This window comes from Homo sapiens, chromosome 3 (genome assembly GCF_000001405.40).
Source record: "Homo sapiens chromosome 3, GRCh38.p14 Primary Assembly".
NCBI lineage: Eukaryota > Metazoa > Chordata > Mammalia > Primates > Hominidae > Homo > Homo sapiens.
In genome coordinates this window covers 178,319,514-178,330,675 of record NC_000003.12, presented here as the reverse complement: position 1 = coordinate 178,330,675, position 11,162 = coordinate 178,319,514, and the positions used below count along the sequence as shown (strand labels likewise).

Below are 11,162 nucleotides of genomic sequence, written 5' to 3'. Positions count from 1 at the left end.
TTTGGGTTTACTTTCCTAAAAATCTTCACCTTGTTGTTGATCTTTAAAGGTTTGCAGTTGTTGTTCTTATTAAAATCATTTAAACCTTAGCCTAGGGATCTGTATTCTCCCGGAGAACTATGACAACAGAGGCAGGATTTGACTTAAAGCAATTAAAGCAGGCCAGAGCTGCATCCCTTCAGTAGGTAAATGTTGATAACTTCAATGTAAGGCAGCAATGTGGACACTGCTTGTTTCAGGCACTCAGAGGCTTTCAGCTTAATCCACAGCAGTGAGCAAAAGGATTGCTCCATTTAATTGGTTCTGTAGACTGCATTATTTAAGGAATAGCAAATATTGTTTGGAGTCTGTTTGAAGGGAAACAGAAAAACAACTGCTGCAAAATGGGAATACAACAATTTCTTATCGACTTCTCTGAAATATTGAGAGATTAATGAGTCTGGGCCCATAACATAGTTATATTCCTAAGAAAAGTTGATATATATGCCAAAACCTTTTCCAGTTTAGTTTACTGCTGTTACTACTGGAAACAGCATAAGACTTAAAGCCAAAGCTCTAACCCTGAGTCCTGGTTTTGCCTGTAATTACTTATGAGACTTTGGGAAAGTTATTTCACCTCTGTGGGTTTTTCTTTCTACATCTTTGAAGTGAATATTGTTATACTGACCTCACAGGGTAATTTGGAGAGTTAAATGCATAAAAACACATAATATTGCATTGTAAGCCATAAAAATGTGTACAAGTGGTTGTCTTATACTCATATATCATTAAACATTTAACGTCATAGCCATGCAGCAATATGCCAGTAGTTCCCAAAGTATGCTCTACAGATAACTTGTGCCATATATATTCTCTGAAAAATGAGTTTTGGATCTTTTTGGCTCCAAGGTACTCTTTGCTACAGTCCTAATGTGTTGTCCAAAATTCATGTGTTGGAAACTTAATTTCCAAAGCAACAATGTTGGAAGGTGGGGTCCTTCAGAAAGTGTTTAGGTCATGAGGATTCTTCTCTTATGAACTGATTAATGCCTTTATTAAAAGGGGTTGTGCGAGTGGCATCTCTCTCCTCTGCCCTTCTGCCATGTGAGGACACAGTGTTTATCCTCTCTTGCTTTTCCACCACCTGCCACACAAGGACTCAGCAAGAGGGCTCTCACCAGATACAGACTCTGTGGTCTTGAACTTTCCAGCCTCCAGAACTGTGAGAATTTCTATTGTTTATAAATTACCCAGTCTGTGGTGCTTTATTATAGCATCACAAATGAAAGAAGATAGTCATTGAGCCCTGCTAGACGCTCTTCTCAATTAATAATAAAATATGGCTCATAATTTTCTGTTTTAAGAGGCTCGTAATAATACAAAAGGCATTATTTAATCCTTTGTATTCGGGTTCAATTTCAACAGTATAAGTGTAGTCTTTTTCAAGACAGGTCATTCCCATCCCCCTTTATTTTTTTGCATTTTTCTCTTGAGCCTCAGCCTGTACCATGGCACCTCTTTTCAAGGTATATAGATACAGTACAAGGAATAATAATAAAGATGAAATAATTTGGTATTTCCTAGTCTCAGAAGAAGAAGTAAAAAGAGCAACTAAAGCTGCAGTCTATTTTTTCTCCAAAGTTGTTCATGAGACTTTTCTAACTTCCCTTATTTTCTCAAGTCACTTCATCTAAGGTCTTTACATCATAAGTCTGAAAGTTATTTATTTTTGTGGTAAAGATCTTTTTTCTCTTTTTAGAAATGTATGCCTGCTTCTGAAACTAACCTGGCAACATTTCAGAGGTGAAGGACAGAGCTCAAAAGCCGGGAAAGATAGTTTTCATTTTTATATTGAAAACTCAGTACTCCAACCTGAACTTACTGTGGACAACCATATGTTTACTGGTTCTAAATTTGAACTACATGTCTCTGCTTCTTTGTTCAATGTCATATCCAACATGCCACAAACTTGGACAACTCCAACTGGGACATACTCCAATCCTAGAGTCATAGGCTCTTAGAGATAGAAGTCCTTTTGTCTTATTACATTATCTACCAAGAAAGATGCTGCATATTTTCAATGCCTTTTAATGTCTTTCCTCTGAGATCCCCTGAAGTTTTAAAGAAAGCACCTATTTTGAGCGATGACTAAAAAGCTGAGAAAGTGGACTCAAAATTTGACATTAAATTCAGCTAATATATAGACCCACACTGGGTAGGCCTTAAGTTGATTCCTTAATTCACATATTTATTTACTTCATTAAACATTCATTCATTTTTTAAAGCACCATTTTGTGCAAGGCCCATAGGCGAGTTGGCTTTCACCTAGGTCCAGAATAGCCTATTTGCTGCACACTTGGTTCCCTTAGGCCCATCCTGCTCTTAGGGACAAATCAGGCACAGTACTCTCTCTACAGAGGTCTTCTCTGAATTCTTCTCAGCACAATGTTCCCGAAATGCTCAATCAGAGCTGACATGCAAGAAGCAAAAATGACCACCTCTGACCTAGTCAGTAATGGCAATAATATCTGAACAGCTATTGAGCCGCTGTGCTAGGCATTTCATGTAGTTTAGTTCAATTAATCTTCACAATAATCCTAACAATGTAGGTACTATTATCATATCTTTCTGGCAAATAAGGAAATTGAGCTCAGCAGAGTTAAATAGCTGGACTACAGTCACACTGCTAGTTAATGGTATAGCTGAGATTGAGCCCACGCAGTTTGAATCTAGAGACAGTACACTGGGAGGTAGTGCTGAGAAAGTTTTTTAGATCCAAGAGTATCAACAGAAATACCTACTAGTTCATATACAGGTGGCGCTGGTGAAAATGCAGTTGGCTTAAAAATCTTGAGTTCCACTTTCAACTCTGACATTCAAAACTGCGTGTTTCTTAAAAATTACAGTGGTAATGAATTACCTCTATCATGAGTTTTAAGAAACTCTTGAGTGATATGAAATAAATCAGATAGTACATAAAAGAGAGTTATTATAGTGAATAATATGTAATGGAAACTCAATACACATGAAGTTGCTCTCTTTTTTTCCTAAAGTCATAGGGGATGAATGGAGGTTTCTTATCTTTCTCTTCCTTCTAACTCTTAGTTTAGTAAACAAACTTTTTCTCCTTCTGGACATTTTTTTGGGAATAGAGTTTTTGCTCCTTGTTGGGATAATGGGAAAGAGGCTACATTGTAGAAGATGGCAATAAGATTTGTCATCTTTGTAGGAAAATCCACAATCACTACGATGGATTTTTTCCTATTTTGTGTAAAAGACTTGATACTTGTAAAATATATATTCTTCTGGAGTGAGTAGAAGCTGATGTTTTTGTCTGCCATTTACATTTTACTGTAAATTGAAACTTCTGTGAGATTATCTTTTGGAGGTCAAGATTAGAATGCATTGTTTATTATTAAGAACTTAGGTGGTATTAATATGAAAGAAAAGGATAGAAAGTATAAATGGAGAGTCAAAATAAACACATCACCCACTTCTGGTCATGCCTGATATGGTCCTGCATCCATAGCTGCCTAATCTGAAGATGCAAATAAATGATTCCAAAATATACATGTATGTATGATAGACAACAACCTCGGTGCATGGATATGAATGGCATGGCATTTTATGGTTGGAGAGACAGAAAGAGGACGCTCAGTCTAGGGTTCTATTTAAGTGAAATATACTTCAAAATTACGCCTCATTTTGAGTCTGACATCATTTTCAAAGGTTAGCTGCCTACTGCCAAGCTTCTGGAACAGCCTTGGGGTATACCTATGGGAAATGACTTAATACTGGTAATCATTCCTTTATCTCATCAAGACCAATTTATAACCCAGTGGTTTAGGAGTTCTTCTAAAGGCTAGTTTCAAACCCAGTAAATATGAAAGTTGTTTATGAAAGAAAAACTTCCTACCATACAAACCATCATTAATCATAAGCCTTGCCCAAGTAGTGAAGAGGTGAAGTCAATGAGGAATACTCAGTGCTGAAGGAAGGGTGGGAAATAGGGCTTAAAATGAGACAACATGAGTTCAGATGCCAGTTTTGCTATTTCACATCAGTGTGAAGCCTATATTATTTAACTCCCCTGAACATTTATTTGTTTAAAAAAAAGGGATATCTATGCTTTTTTTCCTGGATGGTTGAGAAACCTAAATTAGAAGAGTATGTGAACGTGCTTGGTATACTAAGATGACATGTTCTGACCCTGTCAGCTAAATATACTTGGAATTTTCTGCTCTATTCCAGAGGCATCTGGTATAGAAGTACTCTATCAGACACTTCTATAATCTCTTTATGACCTGGTGGCTTTCTAGGAAAGGGGTCTTTATCTGGCAGCTGAATTCAGAAAGCTTGTGACTGGTGCTAGTACCTTAAAGTGATGTTTTCACAGAGCACCATGAAGCTCAAGTTCCATGTCTGGTGTCCCTTTTCCTTGTGATTAGGACCACCACTCATGGTCAGTGAGAAACTTGGTGGTTCTTCTATCACTTATCTTCCTAGTAGGAGAAGCTATATTATGCAATGAAGATGCTGAACTGGAATTCAGGAAATTCAAGTTGCAAATTATAGACAGCCTTCTGGATCTTTAATTGTTTACTAATAAGCTGTGGAATAGGGAGGAATGGTGGCAAAAAAATGTTCTCCTATCTAATTTGTCACTCCCTGACTCTCTTTCTTATTCAATCTTGATGCCTTTTGACCTTCATAACTCCCCACCTTTCTACCTTTCTTGATATGTCTAAAAAAAAATTGGACAATTTTTCTTCTGTGTTTTATTTAAGACCTTGACTTCCTTTAGAGAAAGATCATGATGTAAATGTGAAATAGAATGTTATGCCTTCTCAGCCCATCTTGTTCCAAAAATATTATACTGTGGCTAAGACTATATAGTCTCTTCACATTTTTTCCCGTGATGCCGTATATGAAAATACAATTATTTATTTTAATTATGTATTCAAGTAAAAGAATGCTCCTCTAAATGAGTACTCCCCTAATGAGAATGAATGGAGTTTTAAAAACAAATCTTTTCCATGCCAGTTATCATGCTGTTTTCCTTTGTTGGTGATATTCAACATTTTCTACTCTAGAGGCCAGTATAACGTTAAAAATGAAAATCTTTTTTCTTCCATGATAAGATCTTAAAAACAAAGTCCTTAAAACAAATCTCACATAAAACAGAAAAAAAGAAATCTCTAACCACAGAAAAGTACTTGTAAAATGAAGATAATCCAAAACAGAAAGTCCAGGGAGAATTAAACAATGATTGAGGTTGGTAGATGAATTAGGGGCACAAAATATTTCTTCAAAGTTATCTAATCTGGGGAACAACAATATATAACCAGTAGAATGTTGGAAATAATACAAGAAAAATGCAAAACAAAAGAAAGCCATCATGAAGTATCAGATAGAGTGGGAACAAATATTTATATGCAGATTCTAGAAGTGCTTCTATCATGCTTAAATGACAGTGATAGGAAAATAAAGAAAGGAAATACCTGTCTCTACATTTGGGGTATCTACACTTTATAAAAAATCACTGGTCTATTAAAATCCATATTCAACCCCTACCTTTTCATGCTTAGCTAATTACCTTGCCTCTTTCATCTAGAAAACCAAGGTCATAGCTATAATATCCTCCAAATCTTTCTTACATGTAACTCCACAAGCTAGTTTATATCTGCCATCAAATTCATTGCCTTCCTCTCAGTACCAGAAGAAAGGATGCCTCACTTTTTGTTTAAATCCAAACCCTGACCATGTCTGAGGCCACATCTCCTCTCACTCCTGCCAAGATTTGCTCCATTAGATATTCTGCTTCTTCAACTAATATCTTTCATTTTCCCCCACTCTCACCTCCCCACCCCTGTTCATTCTCCTCAGCCAATCCACCCTCACCTCCCCACCCGTTCATTCTCCTCAGCCAATAAACATGTTTGAACATTTCTTACCCCAAAAAGGGAAAAGAAACAAACAAACAAACAAATACTGTGTTTGCGTCTTGATTAAGCAACTGTTCGATCTCTCTGCTCTGTTCCTCCAAATCTCTGACAAGAACAGTCTATAATTTCTTCTAATTCACTCTTCAGTTTATTTCAGTCTAATGTTTGGCCTTACCACTCCTCTGAACCTTGCCTTGCTGAGTCACCGATAACCTTCTAAATGACCAATCCATGGATATTTTTAAATCCTTGATTTATAGGACTTTTCGTTGCACTTGCCACGGCAATTAAATCATTTATCTTGAACTTCCTAATCCCCTTTCTTTGGTGTCATTTTATTCTCCTTCTGTCTATACACTGGTAGTCTTCTTGGACTACTGTTCATCACCTGACACTTTATTTATGATAACCCACATATTGATCTTATATTTGAAAGTCTTCAGTAGCTCCCCATCACCATCAGATAAAACCAAACTCCTTAGCATGGGACAGCAGGCATTCCATAAACTGGCACCTTGCCTAAAGCAATACTTGAGCATAAAATTATAAATGTTTGTAAAACTAATATATTTTATATATATATAGCAGTAAATAAAAAGAGTTCTAAGATTTTAATGTTTGCAACTAATCTGAGTCTTTATGTTTCCGTGTGCTTATTCAAGTTTGGACCAGGCATCACAGTTTTTTTCTTGGAGAAATTAAGACTCTGAATGTTTGATTGGTATAATGTCATAAAATATAGCTATAGTGAATCAGTCTAGTCTACTCTCTTAATATAAGAAATGCTGTATTTTTGGCAGGGCGTGGTGGCTCACACCTGTAATCCCAGCACTTTGGGAAGCCAAGGCAGGCAGATCACGAGATCAGGGGTTCGAGACCAGCCTGACCAACATAATGAAACCCCATCTCTACTAAAAGTACAAAAATTAGCCGGGCGTGGTGGTGGGTGCCTGTAATCGCAGCTACTCAGGAGGCTGAGGCAGGACAATCGCTTGAACCTGGGAGTGGAGGTTGCAGTGAGCAGAGATCACCCACTGCACTCCAGCTTGGGTGACAGAGCGAGACTCCGTCTCAAAAAAAAAAAAAAAAAAAGCTATATTTTTGTCTATGGGTCTTTTGGGAGGTACTTACCTCCTATAACAACATATGACTAAGTTTTGGGTGTGGAATCTCTTTTTTGTCATTATCATGATAGTCCAAGTATTTTCTTGAAAAATAAAAGACTAACAATGTTGCATTTATTGAGCCTTACATTTGGTTGAGCCTTGAAATGGTTATTTACATTGTTTCTTTTGTGTATTGTTTGTTATCTGTCACAACTACTCAACTCTGCCCTTGTGCAAAAGCAGGTATTGACAATATATAAAAAATGAGAGTAGCTGTGTTCTAAAAAACTTTATTTATGAACACCGAAATTTGAATTTTATATAATTTCAATATGTTGCAAAATTTATTCCTCTTTTGAATTCTTTAACTGTATAGAAAAAGAATTCATAATTCATAGGCTTGCAGGTTGTACACAAGTAGGCAGTAACCAGGTGGATATTGAGTCAGTGGCCTGGAATCAAATCTGGACTCTAACATATGCTAGGACTTTGATAAAACAATTCACCTTTCTGAGTTTTTCCTGGACTTTAAAATGGAACTGATAATATCCACTACACAGTGTTTGGTGAGGATTTAAAGATAATACGTGAGGATATGCCAACACAATATATTTCCAATAATAGAAAAATCCATATCTGAGTTATTTTTGTCTTACCTAAAATTATGGTAATATCTAGTGGAGAGAATAAATATTCACGCTCCTCTAGTGTATATAGCAATAGAATAGGCCTTTTAAATATAATTAAACCCATTATGTTTTCTTTAACATCCACTGGGTTTTGCTCTTCTGAGTGTCCCTCAACATTCACACATAGTTATTTCACATTTCTAAGGTTTTTTATTCTGTAATATTCTCCTGTTTCTTCAGAAAATAGTTTACTGGGTGATGTGTGGGATGTGAAACACAGGTTACTGAGAAGCTTTATAACTTCATTTTTGGTTTAGAGCAGTGGAATGGTCAACCGTAATATTTTCTCTACTTTGAAAGGTTTTTTCTTATATTTAAAAAAGTAATTGTAATTTTTACCACTTTTTGAAATGTTTTCTGATAGTGTTAAGCCTTAAAAATAAATTTCTAGAAGTACCTTGAGCAAACACTTCATTTAAAAACAATGGAACAGCAACACCTGACCCCTGAGTCTCTTCTGAGCTTCTGTGAAACTTGTTGGGCACTACTTATTAGGAACAAACGATTACATTCACTTCTGCATTTCTGTAAAACTTATTGAGCACTCACTAGGTGGGCTTTGCTCCACCTTAACTTTGTTTCCCTTGTTTCTTACTCTCTTCCCTATCCTCCTTCCTCTAGATCATAATTGTCTAACTTATACTTATGTCCTTAAAGCAATAATTGCAGATAGACAAACTCCTAGCTCAAAGATACAACATTTCACAAAGCTTTCTTTCTTCAAACTGCAGACACCCTAGTGACTCTGTCTAGAAATGGTTGTCATTTGCACTGCTGTGTTTTCAGTCACTTCAGAGAAACTAAAATATTCGAAATGGAGAGAGAAAAATGCAATAAAAAATTGAGGCTCAATGGCTTTTGTATTTACACCTCATCCTCAACCCTGAGCGTCAGACTCTCATATCCAGCTGCCAATAAACTTTTCCACCTGGATGTTCAAATATTCGATTGTTGTGTATCTTGCTATGTGAAAGGCCCAGTATTTATGACAAGCATTCTAAACTCCAGTCACTCACACACTATTTGTTTGTAGAACCTCCCTAGCACTTTCTTCACTGTCTGCCCCCTGCTCCACTATCCTTTTCTGCCTGGGTAGCACATACACATTTCTGCAAAGCCTCCCCTGACTTCAGCCCTCTAAAGCTCCAAGTATAAATTTGATGTCCTATTCAGTGTTTTACCACATTGTATGGCAGGCAAGCATTGGTTAACTAGGCCAGTGCCCCTACTGCACTGTGAACCTGGAGGGCCAGACTGTGTGTTTTATTTCCAAACCCCTAAATCCAAGCATAGATAAGACCCAAAGCTAGATACTTATTATTCCTAACCTCGATATTTTTTCTGAGTCCATATAAATGACACATCCAGATAGGCAATTGCATTACTGTGTAAATGATCCCTTCATCATTGATAAGACAGAGACCCAGTTCAAATGTACTTTCTAATTGCTTGATTTGGGCAAACCACTCATTTTCTCTGTGTTTCTGTTGATTCTTCTAAATGAAAATAATAGCACTTACTTTGGCTTAAAGGTGGATATATTTATCTAAACAATAGATTACATGCAAATGCAAGATGTTTTCATTATCATCTGCTAATGTTTTTTCTTTTTTTTTCTTTTTCTTCTAAGAAAAAAGAATGGGAGAGGGAGTTGTGTCGTGAAAGACACACACAGGTTCTTTTAGAGCTGGAAGAGAAATTGAAGTTAAATCTGCCAATCTCTAAAGTTTACAGATGGGAAAAGTGAGATCCAGCACAACACAGGCTTGCTGGAGTCATGTGGACCATGGGTAGCAAAGCCAGAAGTGCTTTCTGGCCAGTTCCCAGCCAACTGTGATAGCTGGTTGCTTCTCCTAGCAAGATTAGCAATGAATCCTAGGCAAATAAATGTTTAAAAAGTACCATTGATTCTATACCTGCCAACCAATTTCCAGGGCTGGCAATCTGGCCTCTAGGGGAAGGGACAGTCCTGTGGGGGAATATTACAACTGGGAAGCTTCCTGACATGGAGGCACCATTAACATTCAGATTGTTTTCACAGAGGGTAGGCTGTGTTTGGTCTGCCAAGGGGAGAAGGAGGAAGCAACAAAATTCTGATTTCTCCTATTTCCTACTATTCTTTGTGTCATGTTTACAGTGCAGGGGGTGGATAGGACAGACTGGCATCTCTCCTGATGCCACCTCCCTCCATGGAGCCCCCCGCCAAGGCTCACTAGCAGTCCTGTGAGATGAAGATTTTATGCTGGTATCCTGGCCGGCTTCCATCTGGCCAAAGGTATTTTATCTAAATATTTCCAAGGCGCCTATCTCTGCAGTATTGAAGTGCTCAATTAGATATGGCCTAAGTCTCTGAAGCATATCAGTGTGCACTGCTGAACAGCTGCTGCATTCCAACAGAGGGTGAAGTCATCTCTATATATAGAGCATGGCAAGCTGTTTGGAACTGAGGCAGATTTAAGCAGGCAAATGCACACCTGAGTTATAAGTCAGTCACCTGCCCAGAGTGACAGAAGGGTCTGGAAAAATCTCTACTTCCTTAAGTGGTGACTAGCAAGAAGACCACAGGGTTACTTTTTCAGCTATATTTTTTTTTCTGTAGTTTACAGACTCTCTTTTTTTTTTCTATCAACTCCACAATAGAGAAAATCATGATCTACAAAACTGGCTTTATTTTCTGCCATGATTTTCTCTTAACAATCTGTGATTTGTTTATTGATAAGAAGTTTGACATATATTAGCTGGTATCCAGGGGAGTATTGTCATCCTTTAAATAGCACTGTAGGAATTAAGGCATTGTGTACTTCTTCATTTAATATCTATCTTCCCTATTGGATTGTAAGCTGCTAGCTCTTGGCACAACAGAGTGAAATAAATATATAAGTTATGACCATTTATAATCTTCTTGGAGTGTGATTCTCTGGTTCCAACTAAAAGACTATAATTATTGCTCCTTCCAAAGTAATCTGGAAATCTACTAAATCCTTGGGCTAGTTCTGAGAGATATATTGCTATTAATATGGTGACTGATACGTGTCATTGGAAGGGTCCTGGAAGGTCATCTAGATCTCTACCTCATTTGAATAAACATAAGTTGCTTTGGTTTGGGGACAGGGAGACAGGGACAGGACAAATAGCTAATTGTGCAAAAATGCTTGGAAATGACTCAACCACTTAATACCTGTGTTAATCTGGGAAAATCGCAGAAGCACAATGGGCTTAAGTTCTGTCATCTAAAAATAAAATAAAATAAATAAATGGAAAAGAAAAACCTCATCCGAATTCCAATTCCCACCCAGGGCTACAGGGAGGATCTCCTTCAGAAATGTGTCTGAAAATGCTATGCAAATTATATCGCACTCAGACATGAGAAGCATATTCTTATTTTTATTACTGTGTCTTATCTGTCAGAAAAGGTCAGATGGTCACATGAGCATTCCAATTCT

The 11,162-nt window shown here is 37.2% G+C and overlaps 1 long non-coding RNA gene across 2 annotated transcripts in view, besides 1 other annotated feature; it reads left to right on the top strand.

Annotated features, from left to right (window-relative positions):
* The window catches only part of LOC105374235 (uncharacterized), a 221,596-nt gene that overhangs the window by 54,618 nt on the left and 155,816 nt on the right, over positions 1–11,162 (top strand). The gene's annotated exons all lie outside the window — the stretch shown is intronic.
* Positions 10,509–10,709: a silencer, noted in NCBI's record as "peak4945 fragment used in MPRA reporter construct". NCBI's record gives its function as "represses an SCP1 promoter by STARR-seq MPRAs in K562 erythroleukemia cells {active_cell/tissue: K562}" and the evidence as "EXISTENCE:reporter gene assay evidence [ECO:0000049][PMID:32103011]".